The 18,373-nt window shown below is 32.0% G+C and overlaps 1 long non-coding RNA gene and 1 pseudogene across 2 annotated transcripts in view; one reads left to right on the top strand and one right to left on the bottom strand.

Annotated features, from left to right (window-relative positions):
* Positions 1-12,969, bottom strand: part of LINC01360 (long intergenic non-protein coding RNA 1360) — a 32,708-nt gene extending 19,739 nt beyond the window's left edge. Inside the window, exons 1-3 of one of the 2 annotated variants that reach the window (NR_110676.1) lie at positions 12,865-12,969; positions 11,776-11,971; positions 8,149-8,286 (exon numbers count right to left, since the gene is read on the bottom strand). This is a non-coding gene — a long non-coding RNA (long intergenic non-protein coding RNA 1360). Of the gene's footprint in view, positions 1-8,148; positions 8,287-11,566; positions 11,972-12,864 lie in introns of those variants that run through there. The other variant, NR_110677.1, reaches the window with a different exon arrangement.
* The window catches only part of LOC105378800 (endogenous retrovirus group K member 21 Gag polyprotein-like), a 213,368-nt pseudogene that overhangs the window by 23,377 nt on the left and 171,618 nt on the right, over positions 1-18,373 (top strand).

Raw genomic sequence — 18,373 nt, 5'->3', positions numbered from 1 at the left:
TGGGAAAAAATGGGAAGTAATTGCTTCTAGAGGCTGGGTTTCTTTCTATGGTGATTTAAATGTTCTAAAATTGATCAGATTATGGTTGCAGAATTCTGTGGATGTACTAAAAACCATTGAGTTATACACTTTAAACGGATGAATTGTATGTTATATAAATTATTTCTCAATCTTTTACATAAAATTAAAAAGGAGGTGGAATGTATGTAATTATACATAAACATAGATTATAGTATAAAATGTATATTTTAAAACAAAATTTTATAGGCATATCATATATAACATAGGCAAATGCTCAACATACTCATTATTTAAACACACTTGGACACTTCCTATTAACTGAGTTGTCTTTGTATAATTTTGTTGAACCTTCCTCAGTCTACAAAATGGGAATATATTATTATTTCCTTCATTTCACAGGTAGAAAAGCTAAGACTTGTGTTATATTTTTAACTTTAGAGGTGTAATACAAAGCAAAATAAATAATTTTATGGACTGTTAAAGTTCTAAAGCATATTTAATATAAAATATCAACTAAAGGTGCATTATCCTGAGAAACACAATTGATACATTAAATGATAGAAAACAATGGAAGTCATCTGGATGAAGTTTAGCTGACTATTCCATTTATCATTGTTGATATCATTGTTGATAAATGGAATAACCTGGGAAGATCTCCGAAAAGAACACTTGCCACAAACGCAGGAAACTGGGTTCTTAATTTTCAGTTTACTAGTCAGATACTTTTAGGCATGCAATTTAATGTTGCTTTGTAATAGTTTCATCAGAATCTTCAGTTTATTTCTATAATTTGATCCTAAAAAGCCTGTTAGTTTCTTCCAAAGTATTAGTTTAATCACTGTGAATGGTCGCCATGCTTAATGTTAGGGGTTGAATTGTGTCCTCTAAAAAGGTATGTTGAAATAAAAAATCCAGTACCTCAGTAAAATAACTTATTTGGAAACAGGATCTCTGCAGATGTGATTAGTTAAGACGAGGTGTACTGTAGTAGGGTGAGCACTTAGCCCAAGATGACTGGTGTTCTTGTAAAACAACCAGAAAAGACACAGATGAACAAAAGGAGAGTACCATGTCACGATGGAAGAAGAAATTGAAGTGAGGCAGCTGCAAAGGATTGCTGGCAAACCACCAGAAGCTAACAAGAGGCAAGGACATCTTCTCTTCTACAGGCTTCACAGGAAGCACCGCCCTGCCAACACTTTTACTTTGAATTTTTAGCTTTCAGAATTGTGACATAATATATTTCTGTTGTTTTAAGCCACCCAATTTGTGATGTTTTATCATGGCAGCACAAGGAAACTAATATACTCTCAAACCTACCTTGTCTAAATAAGCCCTTATAAATTACAACATACAGGTATGACATGCTTACTAACTTCTGTGACCAATGCTTTGCATATTCCATGCATTCTCATCTATAAAACATTCAAGTTTTAAAAATCTCAACAAAGTAAACAAGCATACAAAATCCTTGAAAATATGACTCAATTTTTATCACTATTGTCAGATTGTCAGTGAAGAAACTGAGGTTAAGAAATTGGCCTCACATGAAAAATATTTTAAGAGTGGCAAGTTAGATCCAATGCTGGATCCAACTATAATTCAATCCTTATCCTAGGTATGTGTAATAAATCACTATGCAGTTTAGTCTGCAATCAAATTTGTAATGCTTGGAACATTTTTAGATTCAGAAATGTGAATTGTGTATTTTCCCCCATTTCTACTTAATCTTCATTAAACAAAAAGCTAGCAGCAGAAATATCCTATGAAATAATGAAAAAGTTTTCAAATTGTCTAGCAATCAGTACTTTTACTGGAATACAAATCACTAAAGTTTACAATCAATTTAAAGAGTTAAATCCGGTCTTTAATTTGATAGAATTTTTTTTCTTTTATTGCTGGTATGCTATTTCTGTGTTCCAATAAAGATAAATCAATAAAGAAGTTTTCTATTGAGACTAATGCTTTCCATAAAAAAACACAAAGTATTTGGGAAGCACTACCATTTTTTTACTTCATCAGGAAAGTTTCAGAGATGACTCATTAAAGTCATATGGTTCTCTTTGTCTTTTCTCTTTTTACATTTTCTGAAAATGTTGCATAGTAATAATAAGTTATAGACAGTCTGTAATATAGACTGTCTTAATTTTTTTAACAGTATACTTAAGTTACCAATTACTATGCTCTTTAAGTTTAGAATTATTACCACAAAATTAATGGTGGATGAGTACCATAAAAAAGGAGTAATGCACAGTTTGATTATAATTTCTTAATCATGTAACATTTTGTTTAAAAGATTTTAACAAATATCTTTTATCTTTTTCATGGATGTTGCTATTCTTTGTGTGTTTTTCTCATTAAACAGCACAATGACACATAATATTCATTTACTCATTAATATGTGTCCCAAGAGAGATGAACTGGGGGATTTTACCTTATTTTCTGTGTGGAATAGTTTTCTGTTTTATAATCTTGACACTTATTTTGACATGTCAGGGTTTACATTGTAGAATTACTGAATCAAATAGTATGTTACAGTGTAACTTTTGGTGATACATATAGTTGGTAGCCACAGACAAAATATGTTCAGGGAAAAAAAGTACTTTTTTGTTTTATAAGTTGAGTATATAAGCCAGTTCAATTTGTCAGAGAATCTTAAATAGTTGTAATGAGTACAACTCTAGTTAATCTCCTCATTAGACATATCTATTTTATTATGTATCTTTCTATCATGTCATTGCATATGTATCACAACATCGAGAACTGTACTTTCTTCCATCCTAGGAGGACTCATTCTAATTTATACTGATAAAAATGGAGCTAGAAAACATACTGTCAGAATAATGTCTAAGAAATTATTTATGGACCTAATTTATTGTAAGTACCAGGAAAAATAATCAAAACATTCATTCATTGTTTATCCTTCTGGCACTGCCAATTGCTTTACGTGAATTTTAGTCCTTCTATTGCAATTTTTTTCTTATTACAAGCAAATGTAATTATTTTAGATGGATATACCACCAAATAACTTGATAATTTGACTTTAAGTAATATGTTTTTATTGACTTAAAAATAATCTTATCATAATCATTTATTTTTGGTCTAAACAAAGAAAAATACATATACATGGATGTGCACCTACAGACATACGTATAAAAATGTATAGCACACATACACACAGATGTATATATGTTTATATATTTTTTTATGGGACCAAAGTTAAAAATGGCGAAGTCAAGGACTAACTGATTTGATGACCATAAGGTTACTTTTTAAATCGATAAAAATAATTATTAAATTAAAGTTAAACTTTAATTATATACATATATACACAGATATATACATTCATTTATACATGCTTACATTTCTATCTAAAGCTATAAATATTTCTATAACTATATGTATATCTGTAACTTTTCATCTCTCTCTAGATAGACAGCACAATATACTAATTAATGTTGGAGATTCTGGAACCAACTGCCTGGGTTTGTTTACTTACCCTTCTATTTACTTCAGTGTGATGAGCATGATTTTTTTTTTTTTTAAATCTCTGGGCCTCAGGTTTCTCAAATAAAATGGAAATAACCATAATAACGATATCATTTTGTTGCTATGAAAATTAAATAAGTCAATTTCTGTTAATTTTGTAGAACAATTAGTTCCATAGCAAAAAAAAACTGTATTTGTTAAAATGATATAGGGATTATTTTGGGAAGAATGGGGACTACTTCAATATTTAATCTTTCAATCCATAAATTTATTATATTTTATTCAATTCTTTCTCTCAAAAATGCTATATTGTTTTCTGTGTAAAAATATTGGCTATCTTTTCTTAATTTTTTTTTTTCTTTTGAGACAGCGTCTCACTCTGTCGCCTAGGCTGGAGTGCAGTGGCATGATCTCGGCTCACTGCAACCTCTGCCTCCCAAGTTCAAGCAGTTCTCTGCCACAGCCTCCCAAGTAGCTGGGATTACAGGCACCCGCCACCTTACCCAGCTAATTTTATTTATTTATTTATTTATTTGTTTATTTTTTGTATTTTTAGTAGAGACAGGGCTGGTCTTGAACTCCTGACCTTGTGATCCACCTGCCTTGGTCTCCCAAAGTAAAATTCTTAAATATTTGATGTTTTAAAGGTTACTGAAAGTATTTTAAATTTTCTTTTTATTTGTTTCCACTGGATAGATATACTATTTTTATGTTGTCCTTATATAAAACACTCCTGCTAAATCGATTTATTTATTCTAATAGTATATAGAATGATTTATTAAATTTTCAATGTACTAAATCATAGGGTCTGCAAAGAATTACATTTTTGTTTCTTTCCAATAATAGTTCTATTCTACTATTATAGATACACTGATGACTAATTCTTTCAAATTTTTTTTCAAAAATATCTTTATTTCACTTTCATTTCAAAATAATAGCTTAGCTAGGTATACAATTCTATTGCTGGAAGTTGTTTTCTTTTAGCATCATAAAGATCTCTTTCCATTATTTTCTGTTTTTTTTATTGCTTCTTTTGGGAAATAGCTGTCAGTCTTGTTTTTCTTTAAAGCATGATACCTCTTTTACTTTGATTTAAGGTTTGTCTTTGTTAACTTTTGAAATACATTGTGCCTAGTTATTTTTAAAATTGATCTTATTTGTCCTTTATATTCGGTTTCTTTAGCTCTCTTATTTGATGCCTTTCATCATTTTTGAATAATTTTATTTCTAAATACATCTTTTGTCCGCTCTCTTTTTGAAACATTTTGCTGTGTTTTGTATTCTTTTGTCTTTTGGTGATCTATTTAGGATATTTTATTTTTCCCATTTCCCACTTTCTACCTATCTTCTTACCATTCATGTTTAATCAGCTTTTAATTCTAGCTATTGAGTCTTTAATTTTAATTGTAATTTTGGTTCTAAAATTTCTATTTAAAAATTTCTAGTTTTCTGAAAATTATTCTAAAATGTGTGCTTTTCTATTACTGTACATACAAACTACAGGTATCTTAAACTTTGTGTCTGATAACTCTTTTATCTGAATTAGCTTCCGATTTCTATTTTTTACTTCTTTTTGTTATTCATATTGCTGTGTGTGTGCCTATTTTTATTTGATTTCTTGATATTTTATATGAAAAAGTACAGAAATTATTTGTAACTCTGGATATTACATTCCCTTACAGTTTGGTTAATATTTTCTCTGGCTAGTAACTGGACACAAGCAATCCAAAATTCCTAAATTTCATCTGGATTCACAAGGTTTTAAAGCTGTGCTTGGCTGGGCACAGTGGCTCAAGCCTGTAACCCCAACATTTGTGAAGTCAAGGCAGGAGGATCACTTGAGACCAGGAGTTTAAGACCAAACTGGGCACCAAGGAGAAACCCTGTCTCTACATATATATGTGTGTGTGTGTATATATATATATATCTCTCTCTCAAACAAACAAACAAACATTTATACATACAAAGTTAGCTAGATTCACCTGCACTTGTAGTCCCAGCTACTGGGGAAGGTGAAGTAGGAGGACCCCTTGACCCCAGGAGCCTGAGGTTGCAGTGAGCTGAGATCCAGTGGGGGCACTTCAGCCTAGGTGACTGTGAGATAGTGTCTCAAACACAAATAAATAAATAAATAAATAAATAAATAAATAGCTGTGTTTTTTCCTTTGTGAGGACTGGGCCCTTATTGGTTTACTCTTAATTCACAAATGTAGTTGTTTAGTGCTCCAATTTGTATCCTGGAATGTTTGTTAGGAAACTTACATTACAAGAAACAAAATACAATTTTTCTTGCTATCTTCATGAATCCCTCAGGTTTTTTTTCTATTTCTTAGCCCTTCCACTGCTGTATATAGATACTTAAAATGCCTTGAAGGTGAAAGGATGCTGAACTCATTTAAGGTTTCTGTTCTTGAAAGGAATTCAAGACATTTATTAAAAGCAGCACTGCTAATACTTACAACCTTGAAAAGTTTCTAGATTTTTCAAGCACATATTATTAATATTTTGCCCAAATTTCCTCATTTATTTTTAGCAGATTAACTGGTTTTTACAAGCTATTCCACAAATTGATCGATGTAAATTCTCAATTGAGATGAGGATACCTTTTATGAATTCTGAATTTTGTAACATCCTTAGGAATTCCCAAAATGTTAAAAATTATCCTAATTTTAATATAGAATTCTAAATCTCTCTTCCTCCTTCTTTCTTTTCCTCTCTCTCTCACACACACATATACCTCACACATACCAACTTACGTTTTGCATGTTTTAACACTTCAGAATATAGAGGACATTATACCAAACCATCAATCTGTCAAACATTGCACTTAATGAATATTTACATTTGAAAAATTTATTTCCTCAATTTAAAACATAATAAATGTTTAAAATGTGAGTGAAGCTCTTCCTCATCGTTCCACCCAACTCCAAGATCATCATTAGCCTACAATTAATGTATATTCTTTCCATAGATGTTTTTATACTTGAATATTGCATTAGTCTGTTCTCAGACTGCTAATAAAGACATACCCAAGACTGGGTAGTTTATAAAGGAAAGAGGTTTAATTGACTCGCAGTTCTACATGGCTGGGGAGGGCTCAGATTAATGGCAGAAGGTGAAGGGAAAGAAAGATATGTCTTACATGGCAACAGGCAAGAGAGTTTATGCAGGGAAACTGCTATAAAACCATCAGATCTCTTGAGACTTAATCGCTACCAGGAGAACAGTATGGGAGAAAATGTCCCCATGATTCAATTATCTCCACCTGGCCTCGCCCTTGACACTTGGGGATTATTAAAATTCAAGGTGAGATTTGGATGGGGACACAGCCAAACCATATCAGTTATATATAAAAATCTATACAGAGTATACAGAGTGGTTTTTATGTTGTGGTTTTAAATTTACATGTTCTTATACTCAGTAAACTACTTTTTGAACACTTCATGTTTTGTGGATTCATTCATATTGGTACCAATATAATTATTCTAATCACTAAATTTTAAAAATTTTGTTGTATTAAAAATATACAATGAATTTATTTTTATCAATCCCAGATAGGTTACTTTCAGCTTTCCACACTAATGTCCTGTAGTATGCCATGTAGCACATGCAATTTCTGATAAATGTTTCCTTATCAGAATGCATGTGGAAGGATTCCTTTAGGGAATCAGTTTTCAAACTTTTTGATCTCTAGACCCATTTATGCTCTTAAAAGGTATTGAGCATCCCAAAGATCATCTGTTTATGAGGATTATAACTATTAAGCATTCAATATATTAAAAATCAAAATTGAGAATTGTATAAAATAGTAGTTTATTTCAAAAATAACAAAACAACTATTTTATGTCAATAAAATTCTGTTAAAAATTACTATTTTTCTAAAAAGATGTAATAAGAAAATCACATGGTTTTACATTTTTGCAACAGTACATGCAGTTTTAATTTTGTTATATATTGCCAATGTCTCTCCAATGTGGTTTGACTTATTTATTGGCCCATTCTCAGGATCCAAGAGCTTCCACATTCCCATCAACATTTGCTAATAGTTTAATTTGCCCAGCCTATGGATATGTAATGGACTCTATTGTAATATGCATTTCTCTGATTATCAGTGAATTTGAGCCTTTTAATATTTTATTAGGTATTAGAGGTTCAGTTTCTCAAACTGCTTATTCAAATTCCCTTTCAAAATAGAATTTCTTTAAGTAATTTGCATACTTATCTTTATCAGTTTCAAATGTTACCATTATCTTTTCCAAATGTTATAACTTTTAATGTGATGTATTTTGTTAAACAGATTTTTAAAATATTGTCAAGTCTTTCAATGCTCTTAAATAAACTTTTTGTTTTAGAATAGTTTTAGATGTAAAGCAATGTCACAGTAAACAGCTCAAGTCAGGCTGCTTGCCTCTCAGAGATGGAAAACATGAGAAGTGAGGTGTGAGTAAAAGGAAAGAGAATTTATTCAAATGCTAGCAACTGGGGAAGGGCAGGCTCTTGCCTTTAAAGGACCATACCAACTTTTTGGGCTGAGTGAAGGGGTTTAAGAAGGAAAATTTGGTGTGGGAAACATGTGGACGTGGCGCAGGAGGGTGCAGGTCTGTGTGTCTTGTTTGCATGATTATCCTGAGAACTTACCTGGCCTGAGGCCCAGTTTGCGTCATCCTGGTTTCAGCGCAGCAGTGGTGGGCTAACTCTTCCTAACATCCCTCAGCCTGCAGGATTCTGCATCTGGGTCTCTGCCTGGTTTGTTTCAAAATTGGCCCTTGGAATTTTCTAAGAAAGTACATAATTAGATAAGTGAGCATTATTCACAGAGGTGGCTGGAGGAAAAGGGAAAAACAAAGAGTTTCAAAGTATGTTTCAAGGCTGAGAGCCAGAGAGGAAAAAACAATTTAAATGTATTTTGAGGCTGGGATACCCGGTTATGTCACAAAGATTCCACGGAGTTTCCACATATATCATGCCCAGTTTCTCCTACTACTGACATATTATGCTAGAATATTTGTCACCATTAATGAACTAATATTAGTGTGTTATGATTATTTCATGTCCATACTTTATTCAGATTTTCTTAGTTTTTTTATGTAGTTATTTTTAAGTTCCTTTTCATAATGTAAAATTACATTTAGTTATGGCTCCTTAGGGTCTTCTTGGCTGCGGCAGTTTCACAGACATTTTTTGCTTTTTATAACCTTGATAGGTTTGAGCAGTGCTGTTCAAATATTTTGTAAAATTTTCCTAGATTGAGGTTTATCTAATTTTAATCTTATGATTGAACTGAGACAATGAACTTTTTAGCGGAACACCAAAGAGGTAAAGTGCCATTCTTATCAGATCATTTCAAGGATACATACTATCAACATAACATATAACTGTTGTTAACTCTGATACCTGGCTGAGGTAGTATTGTTCAGATTTCCCAACTGTAAAGTTACTCTTTTCTCCTCTTTGTAAAGTCATAAACCGCATGTCGCACCAAAAGAGAAGGCAGTTATACTTTTCCTGCTTGAGGACTAAGCATCCACATAAATCATAAATTATTTGGAATTCTTCTGCATGAGATATTTGCCTCATCTTCTACAATTATTTATTTAATTACTTTTTCAAATCGGTATAAACTCATGAATATTCAGTTTATACTTTGGTTGCAACTTTACGTATCTTGTTGCTCAAAGTATTCCTCTTTGGCCATTGGGAACTCATTTAGTTGGCTCCTGTGTTCCCTTGATATACCCCTCATTGTAGCTATTTTAGTACCTCCATCCTTTATGGCACTACAAGAAGCTCCAGGATCATTCGATATTTTTTGTCCTGAACCTAGAAGCAGATATTTCTTCAAAGAGACCTTGTTACTTTTATTGAAGAATGATTTCAGAATCCAAGATCTGGGCACTAGGCTTGTTATGACTGCTATGGTGGCAGTGTTTTGAGGCCCACTAAGCTGCAGAACAAGACAATGTATTTGTGCATATTAATCAGTATATATACAGACAAGTATTAATATTTCTATGTGTACATAACACCACATATTTCAAGCTAAAAATGGGTTTGTACTGATGTTAATTTTAATACATTGCACAAAGATCATTCAAGACTTCTCCCTTATTTGTCTGTAACCTCAGTCCAACAGTGAGAAACAAGGCCTCTGCCACCTGCTATGTATATGCTTAACTATTTGATTCTGTTATACGTGTATTATGGTTTCAGAATTGTTATCATAGGAGACAAACAGCTTTATCAGGTAGAGTACATTTTTTCCCTCTAACAGTATACTCTCCAGTTATTTCCAAAATTACTAAGTTCAGAACCTTTTATTCTCATTCCTCTTATTGAGATTATTTTATATATTTGTAATGCATTTATACTTTTTTCACAGCTTGTCTTCCAAATAGGGATAATCAGCTATCCTAAATTATTTATTTTGTATAAATTAAGGTTTATTCTTTATGCTAGAAAGGTCCATGAGTTTTGACAAATTCAGTGTCATGTATCCACCATTACCCTATCACTCAAAATACTCTCCTTTAAAAAATCCCCTATGATTTACTCCCCAAACACTCTCCCCACCATTAATACCAGGGAACTTTTTTACTGTGTGTACAGTTTTGCTGTTTCAAAAATGTCATCTAAATGGAATCATACATTATGTACTATTTTCAAACTTGTTTTGTTTACTTAGCAATATGTATGTAAAATTCATCAATGTTCTGGCATGGCTCATTCCTTTTTATATCTGAATAGTAGCCCATCATATTAGATGTACCACAGTGTGTTTATTCATTCATCTGTTTAAAGGACAACTTGATTGCTTCTAGGTTTTGTTGATTATGAATAAATTTCTACAAACTTTTAAATGCTGGTCTTTGTATGAACATGATTTCAAATCATCTGGGTAAATACCTAGGAGGGAATTGCTGAATAATATAACACTATGTTTAGCTTTGAAAGAAACTGACAGCCTGTCTTCCAAAGTAGATGTATAATTTTGTATTCCTACTAGTAGTTATTGAGTGTTCCTTTTCTCCATATTCTTGCTAAATATTTTCATTGTCACGTTTTTGGTTGTTTTTTTTTTTTGTTTTTTTTTTTTTAAATTTGGGCCATTCTAATTGTCATGTAGTAGTATGCCATTATTTTGTTAGTTTACATTTTCTTAATCACAAATGATATTTACTTTCTTTTCATATGTTACCATCTGAATATCTTGGATGATACTTATTCAGATTTTCTGCCCATGTTTTGAGTGTATTATTTTATCATTGAGTTTTTAAAGCTCTCTTTATCTTATGATAAATGTTCTTTATCAGATACATGTTGCTCTTTCAATTTGTGGCTTGATTATTGATTCTATAAATGATATCTTTCACAGAACAGAAGTCTCACAAAAGTCATTGATGTATAGTGTGCCCACCTTTTTTTTTTTTATTAAAAGGCATAGAGTGAGGACTTACTAGCACTTTGCATGTCAGAACTGAAACTCTAAATCATTTTTTTAATTTTATTTTTAATTGACAATATTTAAATATACTAAATAATTTTAATGAGCCTTTTTGGTTTTTTAAAATTTTTTCAATGATATATGTTGTTCTGTGTATAGTATGAGACAGAAATTAAATTATACTTTTGCACTAATTAGAAAATACAATTGTTTAGAAAATGCGTTCTGTTATTCCCTGCTCCAGAATAGAAGCTAAATAAGGACAGATTTTTATCTTTTGTTCCCTATGTTTTTCACAGCCTATAAACAGTTTCTGACTTAGCAATAACTAAATATTTGTTGAATAAGTACATATTATTGAATGAATGAATGTGAACAAGGACCTACGTCTGAGTTCTTAGGAATTTGATTTACTGCCGCTTTGGTTTATTTTCTTTCCCTATGTCAATACATTTTTTTTACCATAATTATTTCATATTATGTTAATAATTGTTAATATAATATTTCTGCATACATTTTAGAATCAATAAAATTTCAGGGGAAACAATATATCAACTCATTTGAAAAGCACCTATATCCTTTTAATAGTAAACCTTTTCTGTAAGAGTGTATTTCTGACTTTATTTAGATCTTTATTTATGTCTTTGTTATGATAACAGTAAAGTTGCAGAAAACATAAAACATCCAAACTATTTTAAACAGAACAATTATTCAATTGTTAACAAATTATGGGAAGAGTTGGAGGAGCAATGTTTAGGCTAGATCTCCAGAAATGGCTCTTTGGACAAAATCACATTACTGACCTGGTGAACTTCTACCCTTACCATAATAAGAAACTTGGTACAGAGGACATCCACAATCTCAGCCCCTGGCTTTATGTTCACTACACTTTTGCCATTTTGCCTGGATCAGCAAGGTGATACCATAAATGTTGGCTTCAGGAGAACACCAGCTTTACTGCGTGCGATTCAGGTTCAGAAAGCTGTTTTGAGAATTCTTGACTCCAGAGCCAAACTGGTTCTAAAAGAAATGCAACAGCAAAAATAAATGCCTTGCACACTGGCAAAATCCCCAATGGAATTTGACTCCAAATTCAAGTCCAAGTTCAGTTGGGTACAATGCTCAAATCCAAGTTGGATTGATAGAGCTTAAATATCTTCTGGAATCTAAACTGCAAAGGAATGTGAGAAATGTGGTTTTCAGTTTTTTTTAATTAATGCAATATAATAATGCACATTTACCAGAAAATTTAAAAAGTGGTGGTTGACCTAATTTATCTTTCTGCTACACTCTATCAAAGACTTTTGTAATTATCTCCATAAATGTGTTATCTTTTGTTAGATTTCCTTCTGATATTTTTACTGTTTTTGTTCCTATTCTAAAATTGAACAAAATAAAAATAACATTTTCTAGTTTACTATAATTTGTTATCTATTTTATAACTATTTAATATCTGAAAACGGGAGAACTTACTGGTTCTATTGTAAATCATGCTTAAAATATTTGTGTAGGTAACATTTCATGTATAAATAATGCATTTTTTTTACTATTTTTATATTATTTATTATTTATATATGCATTTATTTACTTGTGGGGTTTTTTTTGCACTGGTTTTATAGGTAAGACCTAAAATTAAAAATCCATATTTTGTGCTTCTTTGACATCTGGTAAAATCAAGGGGGACTTAAAATTGCCTAATTGCAAGTTCTCCTCCCCATTTTTTTTTCCCATGGATAAGTTCCCCAAGCCAAAATATCCACCTTATTAAAGGGAACAGGTATAGTTTTTGCCTATTGCTGAATAGTAGGTTCAGTTCACAGCAAGCCTGAAGAATTATTAAAACAAGACAATCTCATCCTTTACCAGGAACCAGAAAACATCCCAACCTACCCTCTTAATACTAAAAAGCTTGCCTTCCACATCTTCTAGTTGTTCACTCTCTTTCTGAGTGTAACATCTATGCATCTCTCTGTGATATGCAGTGTCCTTTTCTCTCAGGCTGTTAGTGCAGGTGACCAGTAAACTGTCAGTCTACATCTGTATAGTGTCCAGTGGTTTCTGTCCAAGTCATCCCCACAGCACTAGGGAAGAAATACCTCCCTCAATAATAAGGGATATGGTCAAAATATGTTTTGGTTATGGTTAAAATATGTTAAAATATGTTTTGGCTTTCAATTCAACTTGTTTAAAATATAGTTAAAATATGTTTTGGCTTTCAATTCAACTTGAAAACATAGGTCTTTTTACTGAAGACAATGGTCTTTTTACTGAATCAAATTTCATTTTGAGAATCTCCTTTTAATCTTAATAATTTGTTTTATTATTCATAATTTACTTGACTGTATGCTTCCTTTATTTCTTAAATTGGATGTCTATCTTGAATTTTCAAAAATTTTTATAATAGTTGACATTATAAATTTTATTATATCCCATGAAGTTGTTATTTGATAGTTTTATTATCATTCAATTCTAAGTATGTTCAAATGTCCATTTTGATAACTTGACTCATGAGTTATATGGAAATATATTTTCTGCTTTTTTATACCTTCTTTTATATTTAAATCCAATCAAAATTCTACTATGAACAGAAAACATTGTATTTATAATACTGAATCTTTGAAATTTTTTGAGGCTTGCTTTAAGGCTTTGTGATTATTTACATTTTGTAATTATTTCATGTAAGCTTTGAACTTACGTTTCTTCAAGTTATTGTACACCTGCTTCTTAAATAACATATTAATTCTATGATTCTATACCTGCTTCTTAAATAACATATTAATTATGTTTCTCAAATGTCTTATACATTTCCTAATTATTTCTACTTTATTGGTCAATATTTTACAGAGATATATTGAATTGTTCTATGATATATAGTTTCTTCTTATAATTCTAATCATTTGTCTTTATATATTGAGACCATAGAATTAACTGAAATTAAGTGTACAATTATTAAATCTATCTGAATAATTGAAGCTTTCAAACTACTATAACCATATCTACTTCTAAAGACACTATTGAGTTTAATGTCTATTTTGTAATATTCATATAGTTATTCTAGCTTTATTTTGGTGAATCTACACCAGATGCATTTTTTTTCCAAATAGTTTTATATAAGCTTTCCAAGCTCTTACATTATAGATATTTCTCCTGTAAATTACATAATTCTTATGGTAATTTGTTTCATTTCAAACTGATCTCTTCCTTTCAGCTGATAAATGTTGTACTTTAATATTTATTATCATGATTGAAATATATGGCATTTTTGAGAATCATCTTACTTCATGTCTTTTCCTGTAATGATTATCGTAAGCTTTTTTCTTCCTTTTAAAAAAATTTATTGATTGAGTCTTATTCTGTTTATTGATTTTTTTCTTACATTCAACCTCTATCATTGTTGAAAAGTGCAACAATTTATATTTAATTTAAATATTTATTCGGAAATTTTACGTGGCTTAAATAGTGTAGATCAAGGTTAATCTATGCTTTAATCCTGCCACTCCTGTTTCCAAATAGGGACCTTACAACACTTTTATTTTATGATTAATTGCCCATGCTCTAATGTCTTCCACATACTACACCAAGTGTTAGTGGTATAAAAAAATATGTATATTTGACCTGATAATTGACTTGTTTAAAAATTTCTAATAACTTCCCAAATTTCTTTAACTTACCTAAGCCAATGAGGGTTGATAATACCCCTAATAAGATACAGCAAGGGAGTATTGTAAGATTCAGTCAACTTTATTGTGTCCCAGCAGGTGTAATATTAATATATCTTTGCTTAGTCAAATTTTGCTTAATGATTGTCTCAGATATCTCGAAAATCACAGAATACTGGATGAAGTTCTGCACTAGGTAATACTAAGTTTTTTTTTTCTTTACAAATGTGGAGCTGGTGTTTAGCGTGCAAATTAAATGTTTATAAGTTTTAGTTACATCAGTTTGTGTTTAAAATAACATTGTGATAAAATAAATGCAAGACATCCCTAAAGTTATCATAGAAATTATAATTGATGAAAAATAGTCACTTCAGTGAGATAAAAATGTTCACTTTCACTGAATTTAAAATATTGATCATTTCATATCTTTATTCTCATTATATGTTAAGAATAAGAATATTTAGATTCAGCTAAAAGAATGTCCAGACAAAAAAGCCACTGTCCTAATTTTCTAACTCCTTGCAAATGCAGGGTCAGTGGTGCCTAGGGCGTTATTTGCATGGTTGGATAAGTTGGGAAATTATAGGGTTAATTTAATGTTTAAGTTCAATAATCAATTTTGAATCTCTGTCCTAAAAAATTAACAACCGAAAGAATGAAAATACTTTAGAATGAAAAGTGCTTTAAAGCCCAGCTTACTCAACTATTTCTCCATTCTATGTAGAAGACCATTTATATTCAAAAGAAGTAATCACTATTAATAATTAATAAGTCTCAATTTGTCTGTAACTCTTCTATTCTCCTAGAATATTAAATGTTGGCCGCTAGCTGAATAAAATATTTTAGGTTTAATTTAATTAGGATAAAGCAGTGAATCATAACAACCTCTCTTATTCTGTATATTATTTATATTATACACATGTACATACCCACATATATAAATCCAAAAATATACTGTTCATTACAATCTGATAATATGATCTTTTTTGATCTCAAAGTTTCAAGCAGCTATCATCCATATCCATCCTCCATACACAAAACATACATTCTGTGTGTGAGAGTTGATTTTAGAGTCTCTTTTCTTTTTTCTTTTTTCTTTTTTCTTTTTCTTTTTTTTTTTTTTTTTTTTTTGAGACGGAGTCTCGCTCTGTCGCCCAGGCTGGAGTGCAGTGGCGGGATCTCGGCTCACTGCAAGCTCCGCCTCCCGGGTTCACGCCATTCTCCTGCCTCAGCCTCCCAAGTAGCTGGGACTACAGGCGCCCGCCACCACGCCCGGCTAATTTTTTTGTGTTTTTTAGTAGAGACGGGGTTTCACTGTGTTAGCCAGGATGGTCTCGATCTCCTGACCTCGTGATCCGCCCGCCTCGGCCTCCCAAAGTGCTGGGATTACAGGCGTGAGCCACCGCGCCCGGCCGATTTTAGAGTCTCAAGTCTAGACTTCACATCAATTTCTCTTTACCTCCTTTTATTATAACAAGCTATTAATTTAATTTCTTAAGGCATATTTGCATTGTGCCTTTAAAATTGAACATATTCACTATACTTTTGCTTTTTATTCCAAAGTTTAGAAACATGTAGAAGGGATAATATTACAGTTTCCATAGAATTTTTTTTTTTTTATTTCTTGTAGTGATTTAAAACTCTGACTCTGAGCTCCAGTCTGTCTGAAGCTAAAATGTTAATCTGGATGCTTTCGGCCAAATTAGCTCAATTCCAGTGATTTATCAGTCACTTTAATTTAATATTTCATCAGTTCAAGGAGCTGCTCATCTGCCTCAGATATTGGGATTATGTCTGGATTCAGGATAAGTTTAACGCCATTGTGGAAGGATGCGACTGGTCTGTGCTCATGCTGATAAAAATGTATCTATGGTTGTTTGGCACAATCTGAGGTGATTGCTCCAGGAAGCCTTTGCAGTCTTTTTCCATTAATTCCGTTCTATCTTGGCTTTTGCTGGAGCTAATCCCCTGACGTCTCGTTGCATCTCCTATTTGATGTCTACTTGGGATTCTTTCATACTAGCTTCTACAGTGACTTCGTCAAATGTTGGGAAAACGCTCTGTACCCCACTCTGCTCCACCCTGTTAAACTGGAATAGTTTACTCTCAGCCACATTCTCTTGCTGAGGACACATTTCCCCCCACTGTATATCTTCTTTAGAGCATTGGGAGTATATTTTTTAACCATTAAAGTCTTTTATCTTCCATTTCTTTGGCCCTCTGCTGCTGAGATATATCTGAAGTCCACTTCCACTGATTTTCATATTTACATTGACAGTATAAGCACATTTATGTATAAAGCATTGTGGCTGCCTTCAGAGTCTTGGGCAAGAAAAAAGGTACAACCTATTTATTCTCAACTCTCCTAATTCAACTTTCTGTCTGCTCATTCCCCTGAAAAGCAGGGCAACTATCATGTGATTGAAAGAGGTCAGTCCTATGTTGAAGTACGAAACTTGCCAGTTGATGTTTTAGTTATTGAAGTAATTGAAGTTTAATGAAGTAAATTATTACTTCATAGGATATCCTGCTATTTATACCTTTCTTTATCAAAAATATTCATACTACTTATTTCAGTAGATGTCCCTTCAGTGTCAAATTGGTGACATGATTTCCTCTTTCTCGGAATGTTCTCTGTATAATGAAAGTGAATATTGTAGCAATATCTAGCTAAATTGGCAGTGCCTCTCCTGTCATAGCTGAACGATCCAGAAGGAGAAAACAGGCCTGAGCTGAGACAATTGGATTTCTTCTCTTGGGAATGTGAGACTTGGAAAAAGGGAAATGGAAATATACAAGGAGATAAGTCACACCATTCATTGATGCTGGTATCATAAACAGAATTTGCATAAATTTCTGTTATGGATGTATTCTGTTCTAGTTCTTGTTCATTCTTTTACCAAGATTTGTATGTTTTAAATTCTTTTACTTTTTAAAAAATATCAGATTTATTCTCTTTAATTCCTATTTTCTGTGTAACCTTCTTTAAATTGAATTTCTCTCATTTACAATGTGGTTTGTTCTGGCTAATGAATTATGAGCAGAACTAACAATGAAAACTTCTGGACTTAGGCAAAGAAAATGCTCCACATGAGCAACCTGTTCTCTGTTTCCAGGCTGTAGCACCCTGGAAGCCATTGTTGATAAGGCAGACCCATCATATCTCTGAGTCATCACATGGGAGGGAGTTGCCATTAAGAAGTATTGAAAACACCGCTGACTTGGTATATGTGAGAAATAAACCTCTGATGTATTAAATCATTAGGAATTCTTAGTTTGTTACTGCATTGTAACCTACTATATCATGACTGATAAAGCCACTTTCAATACTTAAAACAGTATATTTCTTCTGCCTCTCTGTTGTTATATATGTAATACTCTTTACAAAGATTCTCTCTTTGACCAAATTTTAGCCAGGCTCCTCTGAGCCCTCTTCTCAGTTAGGCTGTAACCTTGACATGTAAAGACCTGAACAAAAAACAAACATTGTTTCTAACACCTAAAGGCTACGTCCCTAGAATGACCCTTGGCCCCCTTAAAGTGCCTGTGTGAGAAAACTCAAGACTGCTAAAGGACTTGAGTGTTTGTCATTCAACACCTAAAGATAGGGCCTGTGTCTCCCAGCCTGTATGAGAAAGTAGGAGCCTAACTCTGATAACTCTCAGTTAACAAACCCAAAATGGGTTTCACATTGACTAAACCCCCACTCCTCATTTTAATAACTTTTTTATTTCCCTGACTTTAGTGAGCCCATGTTCATTAC

Source organism: Homo sapiens, chromosome 1, assembly GCF_000001405.40.
Source record: "Homo sapiens chromosome 1, GRCh38.p14 Primary Assembly".
NCBI lineage: Eukaryota > Metazoa > Chordata > Mammalia > Primates > Hominidae > Homo > Homo sapiens.
This window is presented reverse-complemented; position numbering and strand designations above follow the sequence as displayed.